This window comes from Homo sapiens, chromosome 17, assembly GCF_000001405.40.
Source record: "Homo sapiens chromosome 17, GRCh38.p14 Primary Assembly".
NCBI lineage: Eukaryota > Metazoa > Chordata > Mammalia > Primates > Hominidae > Homo > Homo sapiens.
In genome coordinates, this window is record NC_000017.11 from 2,248,085 (window position 1) to 2,274,071 (window position 25,987).

General features: G+C 44.9%; 1 protein-coding gene across 13 annotated transcripts in view, besides 5 other annotated features; it reads right to left on the reverse strand.

Annotated features, from left to right (window-relative positions):
• SMG6 (SMG6 nonsense mediated mRNA decay factor) overlaps nt 1-25,987 on the reverse strand; it is a 243,947-nt gene that overhangs the window by 188,246 nt on the left and 29,714 nt on the right. The window contains exon 1 of one of the 13 annotated variants that reach the window (XM_011523775.3): nt 17,846-18,101. The exons of 7 other annotated variants lie outside the window; for them this stretch is intronic. Coding sequence is in view for 2 of the 6 variants with exons in the window: in XM_047435698.1 (XP_047291654.1) it covers nt 2,752-2,847 (96 nt within the window). In the remaining 4 variants the exon portion in view is untranslated. 5 more of the 13 variants (XM_017024399.3, XM_047435699.1, NM_001256827.2 and 2 more) reach the window with 5 other exon arrangements.
• Nucleotides 5,670-5,949: an enhancer, noted in NCBI's record as "active region_11485". NCBI's record gives its function as "activates an Ori minimal core promoter by ATAC-STARR-seq in GM12878 lymphoblastoid cells {active_cell/tissue: GM12878}" and the evidence as "EXISTENCE:reporter gene assay evidence [ECO:0000049][PMID:35858748]".
• Nucleotides 11,152-11,351: an enhancer, noted in NCBI's record as "active region_11486". NCBI's record gives its function as "activates an Ori minimal core promoter by ATAC-STARR-seq in GM12878 lymphoblastoid cells {active_cell/tissue: GM12878}" and the evidence as "EXISTENCE:reporter gene assay evidence [ECO:0000049][PMID:35858748]".
• Nucleotides 11,632-11,761: an enhancer, noted in NCBI's record as "active region_11487". NCBI's record gives its function as "activates an Ori minimal core promoter by ATAC-STARR-seq in GM12878 lymphoblastoid cells {active_cell/tissue: GM12878}" and the evidence as "EXISTENCE:reporter gene assay evidence [ECO:0000049][PMID:35858748]".
• Nucleotides 17,823-18,032: an enhancer, noted in NCBI's record as "active region_11488". NCBI's record gives its function as "activates an Ori minimal core promoter by ATAC-STARR-seq in GM12878 lymphoblastoid cells {active_cell/tissue: GM12878}" and the evidence as "EXISTENCE:reporter gene assay evidence [ECO:0000049][PMID:35858748]".
• Nucleotides 18,923-19,212: an enhancer, noted in NCBI's record as "active region_11489". NCBI's record gives its function as "activates an Ori minimal core promoter by ATAC-STARR-seq in GM12878 lymphoblastoid cells {active_cell/tissue: GM12878}" and the evidence as "EXISTENCE:reporter gene assay evidence [ECO:0000049][PMID:35858748]".

Sequence of the window (25,987 nt, forward strand, 5' to 3'; positions counted from 1 at the left end):
GACAGAGTGAGACTCTATCTCAAAAAATAAAAAATAAAAATAAAAAGATACTAACCCACTTCATTCAAGCCTAAATACCATCCCCCAAGCCAACTCAGAAATTTAAGCAACTTTACTTTAGTAAATGGCAGAGTCAGAACTTGAACCCAGGTCTTCAGATTCCAAACACAGTTTTCTTTCTCTTATCCTACACCTATCTCGGGGAAAAGAACTGGTGAGCTGATTCAACCAAGGGCTAACGAGGGAATAAGAGCAACTAAGAAGCCGTTCAAGTTTTGCTTTTAAGTTTTCCTTCCTGATTAGGTAGGAAACTCATACTGTTTGAACCACAACACCTCCTGGACTAAAACGAGAGCCCCAAGAGGTTTGGAACATCTGTGCTTCTATGTGTACTTCACAAACATCCTTCCCTTAGGGTAGGAGATGAAGCCCACCTAATTACCTGAGTCTGTACTTGCCACTACCGTATTTTAACTGCAAAAAGTCGATTTCAATGCATTACTTTTCAACTAGTGGGAGTGAAGAAAATCTCAGATAACCTTTTCAAACTATACACACACTCTCCCTAACCTTAGTTAATGAGAACCACCGCTTTATTTTTAGTCTGAAGGTCACTGTTAAACATACTTTCTCTTTGTTGTCATCAATAACACTTCAATTAGGAAAGGAGCTAAAAATGTAGATACATCTAGAAGGTATGTGACATGAAGGAGCAGATTTGTTACATATTGATCAAATCGGACCTAAACAACATTTACAAGAGACAATATGAAGTCAACTAGCACTGAGACAGATACTTTGGAGAACTTTTTTTTTTTTTGAGACAGAGTCTTGCTCTTTCACCCAGGCTGGAGTGCAGTGGCGCTATCTCAGCTCACTGCAAGCTCCGCCTCCCGGGTTCACGCCATTCTCCTGTCTCAGCCTCCCAAGTAGCTGGGACTACAGGCGCCCGCCACCACGCCCCGTTAATTTTTTTTTTTTTGTATTTTCAGTAGAGATGGGGTTTCACCGTGTTAGCCAGGATGGTCTCAATCTCCTGACCTTGTGATCCGCCCGCCTTGGCCTCCCAAAGTGCTGGGATTACAGGCGTGAGCCACCGCGAGAACTCTTAACTGACCCCAAACCCATAGTCACAAAAACCTTAGTCCGAGCTTCCTTCTTCCTTCCTAACACATCAGCATGGACTGGCTTCCATTTCTACCACTTTTCAATTTTTATCATTTATCTTAGAGACAGTGTCTCACTCTGTTACCCAGCCTGGAGTGCAGTGGCAACATCACGGCTCACTGCAGCCTCTGACTCCTGGGCTCAAGCAATCCTCTCACCTTAGCCCGCAAAGTGCTAAGATTATAGGCGCATACCAATGTGCAGGGCTAATTTATTTTCATTTTTTGTAGAGATGGGGTTCTCACTTTGTTGCCCAGGCTGGTCTCCTCACTTTGTTGCCCAGGCTGGTCTCAAACTCCTGGCTTCAAGCAATCCTCCAGTTTTGGCTTCCCAAAGTGCTCAGATCACAGGCGTGAGCCACCTTGCCTGGCAGACTTTTTTCATTTTTAACAATACACCTAGATGGTTCTCGGTCAGGTGGAAAATAAATGTTACTTCTCAAATTGTGAGGCCACCTGCGTTCAGATCTTCCTTACATATTTACCTACTGTTCACTGAAACAAAAATGCTTCTTGGGTGTATCCCTGAGAGGTAGTGTTAGAATTATTAAAGGTCTTCTGGCTCCTTAGCTCAAGTCCAAAACAAATTCACTGTGGACTCCTGAGCTCAACCCAAAGAGACACCAATGGCAGTAGATGGATGGGTAGGTCTCTGGACACACAATAAAGTCCGTCCTGTCATTAACTGTGGGATTATAAGTAAAATGTTTTGGATTGTTCCTGGACTGTAAAATGGAATTTCTACCACTGACATTACCTAATTCAGAACTAAAAGGATGAAATGAAATAATACAAATTAAAGTAGTCTGAGGAGTAGATGTTTTACACAAGCCTTGAAAGTTATCACTCAAAATTGTGTCTAAGGGCTTGGTGACTGTGGAGCAAGGAAGGAGAGAGAAGCTGCTCAGAGGCAACAACGCAAGAGGAGGGGATTCTGAAACAGGCCCAATTTCAGTTCCGAAAGAGTCGTTCCTGCTTCTACAGAGTCGTGTGAAAAACCGAATTTCTGAAAAGTGAATCATTTTAAGGACAGTAAGGGTAGTCAGTATTAAAGGAATTCCAAAGTGCATTTTAAAGTGATTTTGAGGAGCATAAATTATTATTCTCTTATCTGTATGGAATGTCTCTATTTTTATATACACTTTTTTTTTTTTTGAGACAGGGTCTCACTCTGTCACCCAGACTGGAGTACAGTGGCACAATCAAGGCTCACTGTTGTCTAGACCTCCTAGGCTCAAGTGATCCTCCCGCCTCAGCCTTCTAAGTAGCTGGGCCTACAGGCACACACAATCATGCCTGGCTAGTTTTTTATTTTTTGTAGAGACGGGGTCTCACTATATTGCCAAGGAGTCTCAAACTCCTGGGCTCAAGCGATCCTCTGCCTCACCCTCCTAAAGTAGTGGGATTACAGACATGAGTCACTGGTCCTGGCCCCATATATTTTTAAAAAAACAAAACTTTCTTGCATTTTAGAAAAGGGATCTATCCTCTTAGATATGAGACAACATAGGTGGAGACCAAATTTCATGAGTACCTGTTAGTAAAACAGCCAGGACTTTCACAGCATTCAATCAAAGCCCACTTATCAGTCTCTCTCAAGCAATGAGATCACAAGGCGGAGGAGGATGTGGGCGCACTGGTGATGTTGTTCACACGTCATCCTCATCCCTGCGCTCCTATGCTGGGCATAAGAGGAAACCAACAAGATAGGGTCTCTGATGCCAAGGAGCTTATAGTCCAAGAACAAAGATAAATAACATACCAACTTGCCCACTGGCCATTTATGCTCCCACACCTAAGACAAGGCCTATGAAGGTTCCAGGAGGCACTGTGTTTCCCTTACTGTCATTTTTCCTGTCACAGAGATGAGATGGAATCTAAGAAAAAAAAAAAATGAGGGAAGGGGGGCCTGGTACAAAAAATGTGGAAACCCATCAGTAATGCAATAATCATTCAGTAAAGACAGAGTTATTCATTATTAGTACTTTCAGCATTCCTCTTTCCAGGATATACAGATTAAAAAAAAAAAAAAGCACGGGAAAACCAAATAGCGTGACTCAAATGCCTCGTAGGAAGATGTAGCAAATCAAATCAACCCTTAGGCCCCTTACTTGGACCAAAGAGCCACGCTGAGGCTGAGGTAGAACCGGGATGGCAACAGCTCTTCACCCTTTACTTCCTCCACTCCAGAACTGTTCAGGGCTGGATGACAGCTCAATTAGCTTCAATTAAACATAAGTTCCTGTACAGATGTCCCACTTAAGATGGCTAGATCTGAGACATGTGAATTTAAGTGTAAAATGTGCCTTTTAAAACTACCTCTTCCAACTAACGCACCCCTTGAAACAATGCCTCTCAACTTTGCACTGCAGTTTAGTGCTGCCTCTTATACTAAAGCAATTTGTTACTTCGTTATCCCTCCTAGTTAAAGCCAGCAGACTGAGGGAAATTGAGCTAAATCAGTAGGCAGCTCCAGAAAACACAGCCAACCAGCAGAGGGACAGCCGAGCTCAGAGTACCTGGCTGGCTCTCAGAAAGGAAACTGGCACCAGGTATAAAGAAAAGAAGGGGCCAGGCACAGTGGCTCATGCCTGTAATCCCAGCACTTTGGGAGGCCGAGGCGGGCGGATCACCTGAGGTCGGGAGTTCGAGACCAGCCTGACCAACATGGAGAAACCCCATCTCTACTAAAAATACAAAATTAGCCGGGCGTGGTGGCTCATGCCTGTAATCCCAGCTACACTGGAGGCTGAGGCAGGAGAATCGCTTGAACCAGGAGACGGAGGTTGCAGTGAGCCAAGATCGCACCACTGCACTCCAGCCTAGGAAACAAGAGCGAAACTCCATCTCAGAAAAAAAAGGAAAAAAAAGAAAAGAAGGAGGCCGGGCACGGTGGCTCACGCCTGTAATCCCAGCACTTTGGGAGGCTGAGGTGGGCAGATCACGAGGTCAAGAGATCGAGCCCATCCTGGCCAACGGTGAAACCCCGTCTCTACTAAAAATACAAAAATTAGCTGGGTGTGCCTATAGTCCCAGCTACTCAGGAGGCTGAGGCAGGAGAATTGCTTGAACCTGGGAGGTGGAGACTGCAGTGAGCCAAGATGGCGCCACTGCATTCCAGCCTGGTGACAGAGCAAGACTCCAACTCAAAAAAAATAAAGAAAAGAAAAGAAGGAGCCACGAATATGTTCAGTATTTTGTATTTACTGCTCATGTGTTTACTGGGGGAAGGAATATGACAGAATGGTATGAACAGAGACCGCTGATCTTAAGAGTTGAAAACCTGGGTTCGAATTTTGGTCATGCCATTTATTTGCTGTTAATTATCAGGAAGTCACATAAATCTTCTAGGGCTGTTTCTTCAACAGTTAAATGAGTGAGATCAGTACTGCTAATTCCACAACCCTGAGTGTATGTCTATCACCTGAACAGCTTTTATAAAAAATACAGATTCCTCACTCCTACAGAATCAGAATCCTCAAGGACGAGAGAGGGGCACTTCGAATCAACATTTTTAAAGGTCTCCAGGTCACTGTGAAAGATAGCCAGATTTGGAAACCACTGGGCTATATCAGACACTGGCAAACTATGGCCATGGGTCAAATGTAGCCTGCCACCTGTTTTTGTATGACCCATGAGCTAAGAATGGTTTTTACATTTTTTTAATGGCTGAAAAAAAAAATAAGAGAATATTTGATGACATGAAAATTATATGAAATATAAATTTCAGTTTCCATAAATAAAATTCTGTTGAAACACAGCCACCCTCATTTGTTTACATATTGTCAGTGGCTGCTTTCCCCCTACAAAGGCAGAGCTGAGTAGCTGCAGCAGAGGGCACATGGCCCACAAAGCCTAAAATATTTTATTTTATTTATTTATTTATTTATTTATTTATTTATTTATTTTGAGATGGAGTCTCGCTCTGTCACCCAGGCTGGAGTGCAGTGGCGCGATCTCGGCTCACTCTAAGCTCCGCTTCCCGGGTTCACGCCATTCTCCTGCCTCAGCCTCCTGAGCAGCTGGGACTACAGGCGCCTGCCACTACGCCTGGCTAATTTTTTGTATTCTTTTAGTAGAGATGGGGTTTCACCGTGTTGACCAGGATGGTCTCGATCTCCTGACCTCCTGATCCGCCCGCCTCGGTCTCCCAAAGTAGCCTAAAATATTTACTATCCAGATCGTTACAGAAAAAAAATGTCTGCTGATACCTGGGCTAAATAATCTACAACGCTGGTGTCTCAAAAGATGTTTCTTCCTGCACCGCACTTCAGAGCTACCACACACGTGTACTGGAAACAGTCACGATTCTCATGAGCTAAGAGGTGAAGATGGGTAGTGATGAAGAGTATGGTTTAAAAGACCCCCCTCCGCCACCAGAATATTCTGATATCCACCCACTTCTCACCACCACAGGAGAAGCACCAATTTTCAGTATTTCTCCCAATGCTAAGAGCCCACAAATGCATAATTCTAAGTAAATATAACTTTTCTTGCCAGCTTCTGTGTAAGCACCATCCCATTCTATGATAGCACAAGTGACACCAAATGCCAAAGACTCCTGCTCTCGGACAGTCACACACTCCAAAGGCTACAGAGAAATATAAATGGGACTCTCCAGGTTTCCACCTGCAGGGTAGAAACAGAACACACCCAAGCCCAACGGAGACTTCACTTAGGCCAGAGGGCTCCTGGACGTTTCCCAAAACATCCCTATCAAAGGAAAGTGCCAGATTAAGATTTATGAATCCCTATGCTGTGGTGTGACAATCTGTAACAACCAACTCAAATGTGCCACCAGCTTAGCATCTCCAGGTACACAGAAAAAGAGAAAGAAAGTTCAGCCAAAGGGCAACACTGTTGCTCTGACTGAGTTACTTTCTGAATGACTCTTCTTTCTGCCTCATCTCTCTCATGCCTGGGAACTCTCATGCCCATCCACCCAAATAGTAGGGGAGCTAGGACACGCTGTGTCTGCACTCCAGGAAGTGAGAGAGAAGAGGAAATGGCTGAAGCTCCCACTGCGTGATCCCATGGACAACCAGATAACAGTTTTCCAAGAGCACATACATAAGCTCAAACCCATTTTTTTTGTTGTTGTTGAGACAGAGTCTTGCTCTGTGGCCCAAGCTGGAGTACACTGGTGCAATCCCAGCTCACTGCAACCTCCGCCTCTGGGGTTCAAGCAACAATCGTGCCTCAGCTTCCCAAGTAGCTGGGACTAGAAGCACGTGCCACCAAGCCCGGCCAATTTTTGTATTTTTAGTAGAGACGGGGTTTTGCCATGTTGTCCAGGCTGGTCTTGAACTTCTGGCCTCAAGTGATCTGCCCACCTCGGGCTCCCAAAGTGCTGGGACTACAGGCGTGAGATACCGTGCTCGGCCATCAAACCCATCTTATAAATCAACAGGTTGACACAGCGTAAGAGGGATGGTGAAGACTTCCTCACACATGGACCCATACATTTATTCATTCAACAAAAACCTACTGGGCACATTTTATGTACAAAGCACAGTGCACAAGCTGTGAACAAGGCAGAGATAATCCTTCCTCTATGGGTAACACAGACAATTATGAAGTGCCATGACTGGGGAAGGCTAGGATGCTGTGGAAATATACAGAAGCAGCACCAGAGATATCCTCTCAGAGGAAAAGACCTTTGAGTTGAAAAGTGAGGGTTGAAGAAACAGTTGGTTTTGGAGAGGAGAGGGAGTCACGTCCTGGTGTGTCTTAAGCAAAGGGAACAACATATATGATGTTCTCAAAAGTGGTACATTGTAGACTGGCATGGCTAGATGATTGATTCTGTAAGAAAGTCTGGAGAAGTGGGCAGGGCATGTTGGACAGGTCCTTGTTAAAGAATGTGATCTTCGGCCGGGCGCGGTGGCTCACACCTGTAATCCCAGCACTTTGGGAGGCCGAGGCGGGCGGATCACGAGGTCAGGAGATCGAGACCATCCTGGCTAACACGGTGAAACCCCGTCTCTACTAAAAATACAAAAAATTAGCCGGGCGTGGTGGCGGGCGCCTGTAGTCCCAGCTACTCGGGAGGCTGAGGCAGGAGAATGGCGTGAACCCGGGAGGCGGAGCTTGCAGTGAGCCGAGATCGCGCCACTGCACTCCAGCCTGGGCGACAGAGCGAGACTCCGTCTCAAAAAAAAAAAAAAAAAAAAAAAAAAGAATGTGATCTTCATTAAAGCCACTGAAGGGTTTTCAGCAGGGAAGTGACATGAGCAAACCTGTATTTGTAAAGGTTGTTCTGGATGTTTAGAAAACTTAGGGTTTTGGCCAGCTGCCCCGTCCGGGAGGGAGGTGGCGGGCGCCTCCGCCCGGCCAGCCGCCCCGTCCGGGAGGTGGGGGGCACCTCTGCCCGGCCGCCCCTTCTGGGAAGTGAGGAGCCCCTCTGCCCGGCCACTACCCCGTCTGGGAGGTGTACCCAACAGCTCATTGAGACGGGCCATGATGACGATGGCGGTTTTGTGGAATAGAAAGGGGGGAAAGGTGGGGAAAGAATAGAGAAATTAGATTGTTGCTGTGTCTGTGTGGAAGGAAGTAGACATGGGAGACTTTTCATTTTGTTCTGTACTAAGAAAAGTTCTTCTGCCTTGGGATGCTGTTGATCTGTGACCTTACCCCCAACCATGTGCTCTCTGAAACATGTGCTGTGTCCACTCAGGGTTGAATGGATTAAGGGCGGTGCAAGATGTGCTTTGTTAAACAGATGCTTGAAGGCAGCATGCTCATTAAGAGTCATCATCACTCCCTAATCTCAAATACCCAGAGACACAAACACTGCGGAGAGCCGCAGGGTCCTCTGCCTAGGAAAACCAGAGACCTCTGTTCACTTGTTTGTCTGCTGACCTTCCCTCCACTGTTGTCCCATGACCCTGCCAAATCCCCCTCTGCGAGAAACACCCAAGAATGATCAATAAAATAAATAAATAAATAAATAAGAAGAAAAAAAAAAAAGAAAACTTAGGGTTTTTTTGAGGGGTGAGGGGTTGGGTGGAGTCAAGTGTGTGGAGGTGAGGAGACCAGGTAAAAGGTTGTTGTTGCAATCATCCACTGGCAATGGAAACACAGAGGGAGGGAAGATGTGAAGATTGTCATTCCACACTTGGACAATCATGAGCCCTGTCTTTAAGTCTCAGTGGTTCTAGTTCCAAGTAACTTAATTTACAGACTAGCGGTGGTGCAGAACCAAGCATGAGTATTTTAAAAAGACTAAAGGCCAAGCACGGTGGGTCACGCCTGTAATCCCAGCACCTTAAGAGGCTGAGGCGGGTGGATCGCTTGAGCTCAGGAGTTTGAGACCAGCCTGGGCCAACATGGCAAAACTCCATCTTTACAAAAAATAAAAATAAAATAAAATAAATCAGCCACGCATGGTGGCGCACACCTGTAGTTCTAGCTACTTGTGAGGCTTAGGTGGGAGAACTGCTGGAGCCTGGGAGGCAGAGATTGCAGTGAGCCGTGATGGTGCCACTGCACTCCAGCCTGGGAGACACAGTGAGACTTAATTTTTAAAAAAAATAGATAGACAGATTTGATACGGATTAAATAGGTTATCCAGGCAATATATACAAGAAAACTCGTGAGAAAAAGAGATGAATGTTGTAGGGAAAGAGCATACACATCACTATCTGTGAGAATTTAAATCCACTTCTTTTTGGAGAGTAATGTGGCAAAACCCAGACAAAGGTATGTATGTATGTATGTATGTATTTATTTATTTATTATTTTGAGACGGAGTCTCACTCTGTTGCCCAGGCTGGAGTACAGTGGTGCCATCTTGGCTCACTGCAACCTCCACCTCCCAGGTTCAAGGGATTCTTCCTTTTTTTTTTTTTTTTGAGACAGAGTCTCGCTCTGTTGCCCAGGCTGTAGTGCAGTGGCGTGATCTCGGCTCACTGCAACCTCCGCCTCCCAGGTTCAAGCAATTCTCCTGCCTCAGCCTCCCGAGTAGCTGGGACTACAGGCACGTGCCACCACACCCAGCTAATTTTTGTATTTTCAGCAGAGACGGGATTTCACCACGTTGGCCAGGATGGTCTCCATCTCTTGAGCTCGTGATCTGCCCACCTCCCAAAGTGTTGGGATTACAGGCGTGAGCCACTGCGCCCGGCCAAAAGAATCCTGTGCCTCAGCCTCCTGAGTAGCTGGGATTATAGACACGAGCCACCACGCCTGGCCCCCAAAGGTATTTAAAGGAAAAGGTATTTCTGTCAGGATTTAAGGATTCTGATCCTGAGTAGTAGCAATTCCATCTGCTACATTCCAGCCTAAGTGAGTGGGCAAAAAGAGACTACACTTAACATCAGAATGAAAGCCAAAGTCCTTACAATGGCCTACAAAAGACCTATATAATCTTACTCCACTACCTCCTTCTGCTCCTTAAATGTGATGAGTATGCTCCCAACTCGGGCCTTTGTATTTATCTTCCAGCCCAGTGGTTCCCAAACTTTACAGTACATTGAAATTTTCCTGGCTGGGCCTGGTGGCTCATGCTTGTAATCCCAGCACTTTGGGGGGCTGGGCGGATCACGAGATCAAGAGCTCGAGACCAGCCTGACCAAATGGCGAAACCCCATCTCTACAAAAAAATACAAAAATTAGCTGATGGTGGCACATGCCTGTAGTCCCAGCTACTCAGGAGGCTGAGGCAGGAGAATCACTTGAACCCAGAAGGCGGAGGGTGCAGTGAGCTGAGATCATGCCACTGGACTCCAGCCTGGGCGACAAAGCGAGACTCTGTCGCAAAAAAAAAAAAAAAAAAAAAAAAAAATATACACACACACACACACACACACACACACATATATATACATATATAGATGGTCAAAACTTCTATAGCATCTTCTATGTGTAGCACACTACTCTAAGCACTTTGCGTCTGTTAACATTACAACAATTCTGTGAGGATAAGTACTACTATTATTTCCTTACAGAAAACAGCAAAGAGGTTAATTGACTTGCCTAGAGCCTGAGCTCTTTATTTCTCGCCTTTTAAAAAAGGCGACCTTGGCTGGGTGCAGTGACTCACGCCTGTAATCCCAGCACTTTGGGAGGCTGACGCAGGCAGATCAACGGAGGTCAGGAGTTCGAGACCAACCTGGCCAACACGGTGAAGGACCATCTCTACTAAAATCACAAAAAAATTAGCTGGGTGTTATGGCACATGCCTGTAATCCCAGCTACTGGGGAGACTGAGGCAGGAGAATCATTTGAACTGGGAAATGGAGGTTGCAGTGAGCCAAGACTGCACCACTGCACTCCAGGCTAGGCGACAGAGTAAGACTCTGTCTCAAAAAAAAAAAAAAAAAGGCAACCTCATTTGAACCTAGGAATTCAAGACCAGCCTGGGCAACATAGAGAGACCTTGTTTCTACGAAAAAATAATTAGCTGGGCGTGGTGGTGCAGCCTGTAGTCCCAGCTACTCTATGGGCTGAGTTGGGAGGATTGCTTGAGCCCAGGAGGTGAAGGGTGAAGTGAGCTGTGATCACGCCACTGCACTCCCAGCCTCAGTGACAGAGCAAGACGCCAGCTCAAAAAAAAAAAAAAGGAACTGGCGCGATGGCTCACACCTGCAATTCCAGCATGTTGGGGGGCCGAGGTCAGGAGTTCAAGACCAGCCTGGCCAACATGGTGAAACCCCATTTCTACTAAAAATACAAAAATGAGCACGGTGTGGTGGCATGTACCTGTAATCCCAGCTAGTTGGGAGGCTGAGGTAGGAGAATTGCTTCAACCCAGGAAGCGGAAGTTGCAGTGAGCAGAGATCACACCACTGCACTCCAGCCTGGGCGACAAAGCGAGACTCTATCTCAAAAACACACAAACAAAAGGCAACTTTTTCAGCAGAACCGAGACAGACACGGAGAATGTTTCTATAAAGACCAAAAGCAAAAGCCCCAAACAAAACCCACCAATGGTTTCAGCTTTCTTTCACCGAGAGACCACCAGGCCAAACCAACAGAGAAGTCTTGGAGATTAAGGTAAGTAAATACTTCCAGTCCAGACAATACCATGCAAGTTGGCAGAAGCATGTAACAACATGCACCCTCAAATAGTATCAGTAAGAAGAGATAAAAGATAAAATTGTAAAACTGAACAAGTTTATTCATGGTGATAAAGCAACAGGAGCCTGATGAATAAGGAAAGAGTCCTTCAAGGACGGGCACAGTAGCTCATGCCTGTAAGAGGATCACTTGGGCCCAGGAGTTTGACCAGCCTGGGCAACACAGTGAGACCTCATCTCTACAAAAAATAAACAAAATTAGCCAGCTATGGTGGCACACGCCTGTAGTCCCAGTTGGGAGGCTGAGGTGGGAGGATCACCTGAGCCCAGGAGGTTGAGGCTGCAGTGAGCCGAGATCGTGCCACTGCACTCCAGCCTGGGTGACAAAACGAGACCCTGTCTCCAAAAAAAAAAAAAAAAAAAAAGTTCAAGGAATATGTGTGCATTCGCACACTAATAAAGGGACTGTGCACAGTCCAGAAAAATATTTGAAAATATAACCTCTCTACCTACCTAACGCCATACAGGAAAACCCCTGAATCTCTCAGGAAAGGGAGGAGCACGAACTAATCTAAGAACCCAAAGGAGAACGAAGCTTCAGTTTAAGATAGATGTGGTCACAAAGACGGTTTCACAAACCACTCTGCTGTGGTTATTTGCCATAAAGCAAATAACCAGCACACAGGGAGCTTTGGCTACCTTGTGCGAGCTTCAGATTTAAGCAAGGCACCAAATAAGGGAAGGATTCTGGCGCATCAACTCCCAGGAAAAGTGTTTCAAGTTAAAAATGGTCATTCAGGTTTGGATGTGAACTTCTGTATCTGCTCTTTATCAACAGAGGCAACTCTACCTCCCTGGCAGCTAGCAGCAGAAAAAGAAGAAAACTGTTAGAATACAAATGGATTACACAAAGACAACAACATGGCCTGCTACAGCCTGGCATTCGCCTTGACACTAAAAACAAGGCTAGAAACACGCATTGCAGATCTTCTGGGATTCCACATCTGAGCTGAACCAAGCATGTCCAGGAGAAGGCAGGCCATGATGTCACTTTCCCCCCCCACAGCCAGATGCTTCAAGATGAAGGCTGTAAACCACAGCACTGTTGGTGAGAGACTCAGTTTCACTGTGACTGGAGGCAAGGCCTGCTTCCAGCTAGTTTTTTTGGTCAATCAAATCTTTTCTGTGCTGGTTCCCAGACCCAAACTCTGTAGTTCAAAAGTCAAAGCAAACACCTCAAATCTTTTATCTTTGATCCAATTCTTTATCTTCCAAATTCTCTCTTCGTCCTCTGTCTCTGAACAATGAAAATCAATCTTAACAAGGATCCACAAAGCAAGGAAAACATGGGCATTAACTTCTTCCTAATTTATTTAAAATGCTCTGTCACTGCTATCATTAAACGTATAGAAAAAAATTTGAGTTTAGAGTTAAAAGGGAAGAGGCCGGGCGCAGTGGCTCATGCCTGTAATCCCAGCACTTTGGGAGGCCGAGGTGGGTGGATCACCTGAGGTCAGGAGTTTGAGACCAGCCTGGCCAAAAATGGCAAAACCCTGTCTCTACTGAAAATACAAAAATTAGCTGGGTGTGATGGCGGGTGCCTGTAATCCCAGCTACTTGAGAGGCTGAGGCAGAAGAATCACTTGAACCCGGGAGGCGGAGGTTGCAGTGAGACGAGATCATGCCATTCCACTCCAGCCTGGGCAACAGGGCAAGACTCTATCTCAAAAATATATTTAAGAAAAAAGAAAAAAAAGTCGGGCGCGGTGGCTCACGCCTGTAATCCCAGCACTTTGGGAGGCCCAGGAGGGCAGATCACGAGGTCAGGAGATCGAGACCATCCTGGCTAACACAGTGAAACCCTTTCTCTACTAAAAATACAAAAAAAAAAAAAATTAGCCAGGTGTGGTGGCGAGCACCTGTAGTCCCAGCTACTCAGGAGGCTGAGGCAGGAGAATCACTTGAACCCGGGAGGCGGAGCTTGCAGTGAGCCAAGATCGCACCACTGCATTCTAGCCTGGGTGACAGAGCGAGACTCCGTCTCAAAAAAAAAAAAAGGGAAGAGAAGAATGACAGCGATACAAGTAAATAAACTGCTGGTTATACAAGTATGCTTACATTGTCACAATTTATCACCTGTATGGCTCTGTTATGTGCACTTTTCTGTGTATATATATTTTTGGAAGATTTCTTTTAACTCTGCAATAATTTTTTAAATTGCCACAACTTTTTCTACTAGTCCACAAAAAGCCTTTGTTTCACAGCCAATAAATACCCTTTGCCCCATATGTCCTAATCCCCACCATTATTCTAACTCTGAGGTGGTAGACATGCAGATGACTGGTGCTATAATAAACAACTTTCTGCTACCCCTCGGTGGACAAAGCTGTGCAGATGTGTTGATGGTGTATGCTATATCCCCAGTGTACGGATGTAAAGACAAGGAAAGAGATTAAAAAATCTGTTCATGCAAACAAAAAGAAATTTAGGAATGCAACCCATAAGATCTCACTCCTGGTCTGCAGTGACCACAAGTGACAGCTTCCTAGGAGCACGAAGGGCACTATTAGTGCCTTATTCAACCTTTTGACATATGTCACTTGCAAGTATTTCAAAAGCCATAGAGTTTTATAGATCTGTCCAGAAGTCTAAAGGAAAACCTGCCAAAGACATTCCTCAGAAGAGAATGTCAAATGTGTTAACATAGTTTGCTTGACAAATTAGGACCTAGCATCTCAGAGATTTGTGGCACAAGTAAACTCAAAATCTCAATAGCAAGAATAAGGTTTTAGCATCTTTATCAAGAAAAAAAATCCCAGAAAAATGTAAATCCATAGCGAGTATTATCACAATTCCTCTTTCCCATACGCATCAGGAGCTGCAGTCCTACTGTGTGTGTGAAAGTCAAGAATAGGACTTAGTGCCAATGATTACAACACAAAGCATAACTTATTCCTAAGCCAAGCTGGGCTTGGCTCAGAAAGCTTCCCAGAATGATGGAAGGCATGACTTTAGAGTGAGTCAACCTTTGCTAATACATAAAATAAAGCAGAGAAAGAACTATTTGAAGGATTCACTTCTAAGCTTGAGCCAAATCAAAAGCTCAAATCTATCTACATTGTGATGAATCTTCAGTTCCAACTGAGTGATCAGACAGCACCAATGTGGACATCTGTACCATGGCCCAAGACATTATAATGACAGAATCTTGGCTGGGAATCTCAGAAGCAACCATTCCTTGCAGTTTCGAACCATGCTATGTTTTTATCCATGTTGTTCCTTCTGCCAGAAAAGTCAGCTGACCACATCTACCTAAAATACTTCTTTGACTTGCAAAATTAAGGACAAAGATTACCTTTCTAGGTCGCTCTACCTGTTCACCCTGAGTTAATCTCTTTTACCTCTGTCCAGTGTATATATTTCTATTATTACATTTATAACACTTTATTGCAAGTATTTATTTACATATCCTTTTTTCTTACTAGACTGTGTTTTTGAGGGAAGGACCAACATCACTTACTTTTCTGTGTGCAGTACCTAGAATAACAATATATAAAGGTGCTCCATGAATATTTATGGAAATGACCTGAATTGGGACAGGGAAAAACTTGATTTCCTCAGAGACTACTAGCTGGCCTCAGAGGAGGTTTTACAGCAAAATGGGCAAGTGAAAAGAGAAAAAATATCTATATAAAACTTTGAAGCCACTTATTTTAGGCAACATACAAAGGTATATACTATACTGTAAGATAAAATAGATAAAAACAAGAAAGAGAAGCCAAAGAGAAAAAGATAAAGAGGTCACCAAACAGTAAGGTCACGACCGAAGATAAACGCCCTTTACACTTACTAAAGGAAGTTTGGCTACAACCTCTGGAACAATTAAAATAGAGAATCATTCTGGGTTAAAAATTCACAAATTTGCTATTATAACAATCTTACAAATGTGCATGAGGTTGAAGAAACCCATTTTCTACTAAGAGCAGAAATTTCTTCCACAGGCTTCCACAAAGACACCACGCAACACAAACAGCAATCCTTCTCTAGGTCTCTTTTTTATGTATCTTCATAGAGGCTGATGACACACTCAAGTACAAATCAGTAAAAGCAGTACTACTAGTAACCAATGTTACCTAGTTACATAGCTCTCTGATGGTTCTAAGCATGAACGACACGGAAAAAACAGTAGCAGGAGAGGTGCCTAGTGATTTCTATAATAAATGCTCAACAAATTTTGGATCAGAAGATGGAAGACAACTCAAAAAACCACTTAAGCTCTTAAAAATAAAAATGTGTGGTTAATACATTTTATAGGAACCAAAACATCAGAAAGACAGAGGGTACAGATAGTATTTTAAATTCTTTCTGGTCTAGAGAGTCTATCCACTCATACTAGGGAGAAAAAAAAGAGCACAGTTCACTTCAATACTAAATATTTATGAGTAAAGTGAAAGGCTTCCAAGAGGGGAAGAACCTGGAGTTTCCCCCTGGAGTCAAACAAACAGCCCGCAGACTGGGGAAGGATCACGAGCCAAGAAAACAACGATTTCATATTCTCTATCTTAGCTCAAATACATCAGATCTAAGATGTTGAAAAGAGGGTAGAGAGATGAAATTCTGGCACCTTTAAGAGCAAAGAGGGATTTTACAGAATGATCAAACTATGGATACAGCTCCCCAAGAGAACAGTCAGAAACAAAAACCAATATAGGAAGTTGGTGAGAAACGCAACACGGGAAAAACATAAAGGGTAGTGCAGTCTTACCCCACATAACAGGCAGTGTGTTACTATATAAAGTGAGCTGCTCCCAGAGTAACATCACCTCACTACTCCTTCCTATAGCAGCTGCAGATTGAACAAGGATCCAATGTACAGGTCTCATTCTTATTTGGAAGGCTCTTCACAGACCACAAGCTGGATCCTAAGGGACGATTTATAGTACCCCCTCACGTACATTCCAGTTGGCTGGAACTCAGCAGCTGATTGCTCCCTTGTCTAACTTGGCAAGGAGCCAAAGGAGGACTTTTCTCAGTCAACTCTCCCAAGCTGGAAAATTCTCTAATGCCAGAGTTCTGGCTTAAGTCGGGATATCAGGTTATTCATGAGATGCCAAAACTACATCTTTACATTGGCTTTGAACAAGTCCCTCAAGTACACCATACAGATTCCCACAGACCTCAAAATCATCTGGATATTAAGGCCAAAGATGGCTACTCCATCTCTCACATAGAGAGGAATGTGCTTTTCACAACACCAGCAACATCAAAACAAACCTTTCATAAATCACAAATCAATCTCAATTCTTAAAATAGGTGTCAAGCAACAAACGCAACATTAAATTACTTCCTAGGCTGGACACAGTGACTCATAGCTATAATCTCAGCACTTTGGGAGGCTGAGGTGGGTGGATCGCTTGAGCCCAGGAGTTTGAGACCAGCCTGACCCACATGGTGAAACCCCGTCTCTACGGAAAATACAAAAATTAGCTGGGCATGGTGGTGTGTGCCTGTAGTCCCAGCTACTCAGGAGGCTGGGAGGGGAGGATTGCTTGAGCCCAGGAGGCGAAGGTTGCAGTGAGCTGAGATCGCGCCACTGCATTCCAGCCTGGGTGACAGAACGAAACCCCATCTCAAAAAAAAAAAAAAAATTTCCTTAAAATCTTGTATTCCACCCTACTGAAAACTCTCCCTATTCCACTAGCTACTCAAATTCTCTCACTATTGTTAATCCCTAGGCCATCAAGATCCAAATCCCAAGTCAGGTTCTCTGAGAGGAAATGAAGGAGTAAACCTTAACAAAATGTTTTTGACCTTGTCAAGCTTCAAAAGTAGTGGTTCTCAACCAGAATATGACCACCCATCCCAGGAACTGTTTGGAAGTATGTGTGGGCCGTTACTGGCATCTAATGAGCAGAGCCAGGAACGCTAAACATCCTGCAAGGTCAGACCTGCATAATGAAGAACTGTCGGCCGGGCACAGTGGCTCAAGCCTGTAATCCCAGCACTTTGGGAGGCTGACCACCTGAGGTCAGGAGTTCGAGACCAGACTGGCCAACATGGCGAAACACCATCTCTTCTAAAAATACAAAAATTAGCAGCGGGTGGTGACAGGAGCCTGTAGTCCCAGCTACTGGGGAGGCTGAGGCAGGAGAAACGCTTGAACCTGGGAGGCGGAGGTTGCAGTGAGCTGAGATTGCGCCACTGCACTCCAGCCTGGACAACAGAGCAAGACTGCCTCTCAAAAAAAAAAAACTGTCTGCTTAAAAGGCGATAACATTCTCATTAACAATCAATTTCCTAACAGAAGAACCTTATCATTAACTGCATTCACCTCTCCCAGCTTTTACAGCAGTGGTAAATTTTTTCTGTAAAAGGTCACAGAAAATAATTTAGGCTTCGTGAGCCACGTACATCTCTGTCTCGTGTTGCTCTTTTTAAACAACTCCTGACATAAGAATGTAAAAACCATTCTTAGCTCATAGGCCACTGGCAATATTTTGCCCATCCCTGTTCTAGGGTATTACCTGAATCATTAGTCTGTTTATATTAATTTAGAGATGCTGGTTAAAATAAAGTGTGATGGAGTATGCTATAAACAACACCAATAATGCATATGACAATCTTAAAGAATGAAATATGAACTTCAGAACTTAGCCTTACCACCTAAGAACTGGTGCATGTGTTGGGCTTCTAATCACCTCTCATTCTCGTCCCCTGTGCATTTCAGGTGCTTTAGGTTTTCTTCTGAATGTTCATTTTCAAACACTTTACCAGGAAGAGCACAGAAATGCCTTTCCCCCCTCTTCAGGATCTAGTACTTTCTGTTCACCATGCGTGCCACTCAAAGTCTTTTACAATTATTGCTGTTAACATCTTCTAAAATGTCTAAACCAAACCAAGGCCTGGAAATTCTGACGGGTATCTGGGTCCTGACTTTCCGGATGGTAACTAAAGGTCACGTGGGGTGGAAAGTGGCCTGTGGGTAACACAGAATATACACACGCACGCGAACAGGATATGCTGGTAATCCGGCTTCCTGAGACCTGGTGAGTTTTGAGAGTTCTCATCAACACTCTCGGGGAGGATGAAAAACCTTAAGCTGGGAAATGGCAGATTTTAAGCAAGTGCTCATTGTTAGATCTCTGTCTACAGCAGAATGGGAAGGTACACCATTTACTCCTCTATATTTTATTTGCCTAAAAACACAATACACAAAAAATAAACAAAGTGACTACTGAGAGAGGTTTCTTCAGTGTGGAAGCTGGCGTTTGCAGCATGGCTTATGTCACGTCTCAACCCCAGAAAGATGAAGAGTGTGGTTTTGGTGTTTAACCAGCCTCAGCAGCACCCTGGCACTCTGTTTCTTCCCCCAGAGAACTCTGCTCTGTTAGAGGAAAGAAACCAACCTCACATATTGAAACAAAACGGATAGGATAAAAATAAAGCCCTGAAGTGGTTTGGTGACCGAGGTCATTTGGGGCATTAAGGGTTTATAGGTAGGGCTGATGTACTTTGAGAAACTTGCACTCACTACCAACCACAAAGACATTAGCCTTACAGTCCAGCAGTGATCTGGACAAAGCAGCCCCAATCCTTGCCTACCAGGGGCTGCTCCTTGCAACCCACCTCACATTATCAACATCTGAAAAACCCGGTTCTGGTTCTGACCTTCTTTGAGGATCCCACTAAGCTGTTTCTCATGGCCTAAGAAAAAGAAAACCAATCTGCTTCTTCCCACAGAAAGAGGCTCTAATGAACTGCTGTCATCACGTGCTGCCAAACTGCAGTTCACACACTTTTCAAATAGCTTCCAGAGTGAAGAGTACAGCCTGAGGTACATATTGCAAACTACTTTACAAAAGCATAGGACTAATTAAAGACATGAAGTCAACTCACAAAAACCCTAAAAAATTTTCTGATGCCCACCTTACAGATACGGAATCTTTTTCTTTTGAGGCAGGGTCTCACTCTGTAACCCAGGCTGGAGTGAAGTGGAGCAGTCAAGACTCACTGCAGCCTCAACCTTCCAGACCAGAGTATTCTCCCACCTCAGGCTCCCGAGTAACTAGGACCACCCACCACACCTGGCTAATTTTTTTTTTTTAGTAGAGACAGGGTATCCCTACGTTGTCAAGGCTAGTCATGAATGAACTCCTGGATTCAAGCAATCCTCCTGCCTCAGCCTCCCAATGTGCCGGGATTATACCGGCGTTGAGTCACTGTTCCCAGCAAGATATGGAGTCTTTATATCCATGAGGCCAAAAAATTAAGCTGGCTTTCTCTGTCATGATGATATAATTATGAGACAATGAAATAACTGGGTTATCACAGATAAAGCACTTACCTACTAGTGCAGAGACTCAACTATTCTTTATCATTATAGATTAAATCAGTGCTTGTGCTATCCAGAGAGAACCAGGCCAAAAGCTTTCTTTTTTAATGTATTTACTTATTTATGTATTTTTAATTATTTTTATTATTATTTTTTTTTTTTTTGAGACAGAGTCTCGCTCTGTTGCCCAGGCTGGAGTGCCGTGGCGCGATCTCGGCTCACTGTAAGCTCCACCTCACAGGTTCAAACCATTCTCCTGCCTCAACCTCCCGAGTAGATGGGACTACAGGCGCCTGCCACCACACCCGGCTAATTTTTTGTATTTTTAGTAGAGACGGGGTTTCACCGTGTTAGCCAGGGTAGTCTCGATCTCCTGACCTCGGGATCCGCCTGCCTTGGCCTCCCAAAGTGCTGGGATTACAGGCGTGAGCCACTGCACCCAGCCTTATTTATGTATTTTTTAAGTGAAATATTTTTATTATTATTAGAGACGGCATCTCATTATGTTGCCTAGGCTGGTCTCCAACTCCTGGGTTCATGCAATTTCCCACCTCAGCCTCCCAAAATGCTGGGATTATAGGCATGTGCTACTGTGTCCAGTCTAAAAGCTTTTTCTAAGCTTCATAATGGGTACTGGCTCTCAAACTATAAACCTAAAGCCTCATGATACAACTCTAGGAATTAGAACTCATTCCAACAGAAAGCAAGTCACCTTGTCTAAGGAAACCTTATAAAACCATGCTCTGATCTATAATTGTTTTGCGGGGAGGGTGGAGGAATTAGATGTGTACCACTCATACACAGCAGCTTTCACAGCAGCAGCAGCTCAGGTGCACAAACTACGCAAGGGGCACTGAAAAGACAAATGATGAGTCTAAAGAAAATATTGGGTGGGGAGCAGTGACTCATGCCTGTAATCCCAACACTTTGGGAGGCCGAAGTGGGCAGATCACTAGAGGTCAGGAGTTTGAAACCAGCCTGGTCAACATGGTAAAACCCCATCGCTACTTAAAAAAATACAAAAATTAGGCCGGGAGCGGTGGCTCACGCTTATAATCCCAGCACTTCGGGAGGCCGAGGTGGGCGGATCACAAGGTAAGGAGATCGAGACCATCCTGGCTAATATGGTGAAACCCCATCTCTACTAAAAATACAAAAAAATTAGCCGGGCATGGTGGCGGGCACCTGTAGTCCCAGCTACTTGGGAGGCTGAGGCAGGAGAATGGCATGAACCCGGGAGACAGACCTGGCAGTGAGCTGAGATCACGCCAGTGCACTCCAGCCTGGGCGACAGAGTTAGACTTCGTCTCAAAAAAAAAACGATCAGGCACGGTGGCTCACGCCTGTAATCCCAGCACTTTGGGAGGCCGAGGCGGGCAGATCACGAGGTAAGGAGATCGAGACCATCCTGGCTAACATGGTGAAACCCCGTCTCTACTAAAAATACAAAAAATTAGCTGGGCATGTTGGCAGGCGCCTGTAGTCCCAGCTACTCATAGTCCCAGCTACCCGAGAGGCTGCGGCAGGAGAATGGTTTGAACCTGGGAGGCGGAGCTTGCAGTGAGCCGAGATCGCAGCACTGCACTCCAGCCTGGGCGACAGAGCCAGACTCCATCTCAAAAAAAAAAAAAAAAAAAAAATTAGCCGGGTGCAGTGGTAGGTGCCTGTAATCCCAGCTACTTGGCAGGCTGAGGCATGAGAATCACTTGAACCTGGGAGGCGAAGGTTGCAATGAGCCGAGATCGTGCCGCTGCACTCCAGCCCAGGGTGACAGCATGAGACTCTGTCCCAAAAAAAAAAGAAAGAAAAGAAAATGCCACCTACATAACACACTTTCAAAACAAAAAACTATACATTAAAAAAAAAAAAAATAGCCCTCAAGCAAATACAACAAGTTGAGCATGTGGTGAACGTTCTGTGCTACAGGCCACCTGGCCTGGGTTTTCCACAGGGAAGCCATGCTCCTTTGCTAACCAACTTTCACTTTGCTGGTCTACTGATTAAATGCAAAAAGAAAATATACTATCCAACTTTGTGTAGCCACGTATTCCAACTCAGAAAGAAAACTGTCCTTCTCAACTTTCAATAGCACCTCTAAGAAAATCACGAGAGATTTGGGAAGAGGCAGCATGCAAAATTCCAAGCAGAAACTATGAGCTCCAGCCCTAGGGAAACAAGGTTATCACTGTCATCATCTTACAGATAGAAAACTAAAGCTCAGCCAGGTTACAGAACATGCCCAAAGTCTCGCAGCTAATATCTGATAAAAGTAGGACTTCAGGCCAGGCATGGTGGCTCACGCCTGTAATCCTAGTGCTTTGGGAGGTCAAGGCAAGAGGATGGCTTGAGCCCAGGAGTTTGAGACTGCAGTGAGCTATGATGGCGCCCCTATGCTCCAGCCTGGGCGACAGAGTGAGACTCTGTCTCAAAACGAAAAAAACAAAAAAACTAGCACTTGAACTCAGGACTTTCCAAAGCTCTGCACTATCCTGGCTCTGACATACAAATACTAGACAAAATTATGAAGGCTATCAGCCAGGCTCTAGAGAGATACAATGGATTTGAGGGCAATTACTCAGAGAAGGATCTCCGAAGTCCAGTAGCAATAGGGAAAAAAAAAGGTGAATATACCAGTGTGTATAATATGCCACTAATAATGCAAGAGAAGAAAAATAATCACATATACACCTACATAATATATGACCTACTGAAAATAGTTCTTTAGAGTCCAGGTGTAGTGGTTTATGCTTGTAATCCTAGCACTTTGGGAGGCTGAGGTGGGAGGATCACTTGAGCTCAGTTTGAGACCAGTCTCAGCAACACAGCGAGACCCTTCCTCTATGAAAAATAAAAAACATTGGCCAGGCATGGTGGCACATGCCTGTAGTCCCAGCTACTCAGGAGGCTGAGGCAGGAAGACCACTTGAGCCTGGGAGATGGAGGCTTCAGTGAGCGATGATCATGCTGCTGCACTCCAGCCTGCACAACAGAGAGGAACCATGTCTCAAGGAAAAAAAAAATTCTTCAACTAAAATACTTTAAAAGGCAATCACTCCTCTGTGTGATCTCTTTCAACCTCTATTCCCACTAACTTAGAAACCAACTCCGGCATTACAGCCTAGGCACTTTTCCAACTACACCCCAGCCTTTGAAACAAGGTCATCAACTTTCCATGCCCAGGGGGCGTCAAATTAATGCCCCATTCCCCAAGGTGTCACTAGTTCAAGATGCTTCCTTACGAAATGGGCATTTTCAGACTCAATCTTTCGAAACAATAATTGGTCTATCAGATGCCTAACATTTCTTGAACTCTCTATGCTCTATTCATGTGGCTTGAGAAGTTTCTCTCTACACACAGGAGGAAAGGCCTACAGTTGTAACTTTAATTGTGTTACTTTGATAAAACAGAAAAATAAGGCCAGGCGTGGTAGCTCACACCTGTATCCCAGCACTTTGGGAGGTTGAAGCAGGAGGATTGCTTGAGTCCAGGAAATTGTTCTTCTGTTTTTTTCTGGTTTTTTTTTTTTTTTTTTGAGACAGTCTCACTCCACAACCCAGGCTGGAGTGCAGTGGTGCAATCTTGGCTCACTACAACCTCTGCCTCCCAGCATCCCGAGTAGCTGGAATTACAGGCATGCACCACTATGCCCGGCTAATTTTTGTATTTTTAGTAGAGACGGGGTTTCGCCATGTTGGCCAGGCTGGTCTTGGACTCCTGATCTCAAATAACCTGCCTGCCTCAGACTCCCAAAGTGCTGGGATTACAGGTGTGAGCCACCATGCCCAGCCAAGTCCAGGAGTTTGAAACCAGCCTATACATTTTAAAAAGCAGCCAGGCATGGTGGCTCATGCCTGTAATCCCAGCACTTTGAAAGGCCAAGGTGGGTGGATCACCTGAGGTCAGGAGTTCGAGACCAGCCTGGCCAACACGGTGAAACCCCGTCTCTCCTAAAAACTACAAAAATTAGCTGGGCATGATGGCGGGCGCCTGTAGTCCCAGCTACTCAGGAGGCTGAGGCGGGAGAATCGCTTAATCCCAGGAGGCAGAGATTGCAGTGAGCCGAGATCATACCATTGCACTCCAGCCTAGGAAACAGAGCAAGACTCCGTCTCAAAAAAAATAAAAATAAAAATAAAAAGCTGTAAATTTTTTTTAATTAAAAAGAAAAAAGGCTTTGCCCTACTTAACCCAAACCACTGGCAATTTCCTCCAACTACCAAGACACAGAGAGACACTAGCATGTTTGAGTTCAAAATGCCTAAGTGCATTGTCTAAAAGAATAGCCCTTCAACTTTTTAAGTCAGCAAACTGTGGGGTAAAAGATTCAGTCAATCTCCACCCTACCAAATTTAATGGATAGAATAGTGCTGCTTTTGCTCAATTAACAATGCAGACATGACAAGTAAACAGTGAGAAATTCCAGAAACAAATTATTATTTCCAGAATCCTAAGGTATCTTATGGGAGATCAGCCCCCTGACTACCTCCCAAGTGCACACCATGGCACCAAACTAGAATGTGGCTCTGGCAGAAGGCTCAGCCTCCTCTCTACCCTCCAACTTTCTCACATTGGCCTCCAAATTACCACAGATTTAGGTGCCCTGTGAGCCCTCTGCTGTTTCACACCTTCTCTGTCTTTGCTCATGCTATTACTTCTATTTGGAACACTCTCTTCCCACTCTGCCCAGTTAACTTTTCCAGGAAGCCTTCTGAATTCACTTTCCTCTCTCCTCACCCCAAACCATGCCTCTGCCAGGGCTGGACCAAGAGCCTCTCTCTGTGCTTCCACAGTACCCAATACATACCTCCCTCCTGGCACCCACCACAATACAATCAACCTTCATTGTTCATGGATTTTGCATTGTGAATTCACTTACTTGCTAAAACTTACTTGTAACCCCCAAATCACTACTCATGATGCTTTCACAGTCATTCCTAGACATGCACAGAGCAGCACAAAATTTGAGTCACCTGAGGTGCATGTTCCTAGCTAACTAAGGTCAGAAAAAGCAACTCTCTGCCTTCGTATTTCAGGTCATACTTAGAAGTGTCCTTGGCCGGGCACGGTGGCTCATGCCTGTAATCCCAGAACTTTGGGAGGCCGAGGCAGGCGGATCATGAGGTCAAGAAATCGAGACCATCTTGGCTAACACGGTGAAACCCCATCTCTACTAAAAATACTAAAAATTAGCCGGGTGTGGTGGTGGGCGCCTGTAGTCCCAGCTACTCGGGAGGCTGAGGCAGGAGAATGGCGTGAACCCAGGAGGCGGAGGAGCTGAGTTCACGCCACTGCACTCCAGCATGGGGGACAGAGAGAAACTCTGTCTCAAAAAAAAAAAAAGTGTCCTTTTCATGGTGTATTTAGTATCACATTTCTGAGATTTTTGTTGGTGATTTTGTTGTCTCACGTGGCCCCCACACCACTGTGCTTGGGGAGTGTGCCGAAGTGTGTGACTCCCTAAGTGCAAGAAGGCTGTGATGTGTTTTACAGGGAAAATGTGTATTAGATAAGCCTCATTCAGCTATGAGTTATAGTGCTGTTAGGCAGTGAGCTCTCTGTTAATGAATTAATAATATATATTAAATAAGGTGTCTTTAAACAGAAACCCACATAAAACAAGGTTATATAACTGGTCAGGTGTGGTGGCTCATGCCTGTAATCCCAGCAATTTGGAAGGCTGAGGTGGGCGGATCACTTAAGGTCAGGAGTTCACGACCTGCCTGGACAACACAGAGACACCCTGGCTCTACTCAAAATATAAAAATTAGCCAGGCGTGGCTGGGGACAGTGGCTCACGCCTGTAATCCCAGCACTTTGGGAGGCCGAGGCGGGTGGATCACGAGGTCAGGAGATTGAGGCCAGCCTGGCCAAAATACACAAATTAGCCAGGCATGGTGGCGGGTGCCTGTAGTCCCAGCTACACGGGAGGCTGAGGCAGGAGAATCGTTTGAACCGGGGAGGCGGAAGTTGCAGCGAGCAGAGATTGTGCCATTGCACTCCAGCCCGGGCAACAGTGTGAGACTTTGTCTCAAAAACAAATAAATAAATAAATATTAGCCAGGCGCACACCTATAATCCCAGCCACTCAGGAGGCTAAGGCACAAGAATCGCTTGAGCCTGGGAGGCAGAGGTTGCAGTGAGCAGAGATCGCGCCACTGCACTCCACCCTGGGCAACAGAGTGAGACTGTGTCTCAAAAAAAAAAACCCAAAAAAAGCAAGGTTATATATTGACCAGTTGATTAAAATGTTGTGATCAGAGGCTTGAAGGAATGTAATTCTGTATTTCCCTTAGGAGCAACAATCCACTATTCACTAATTCAGTGTTTGTGGTGAATTTATTGAATGTATAGAACATAACCACCACAAATAACAAGAATCAACTGTTTACTGTATTCTATTTATGTAACCATTTCTTCCACTGGAACAGAAGTTGGCAAACTAGGCCCACAGGCCAAATTCAATCCACCA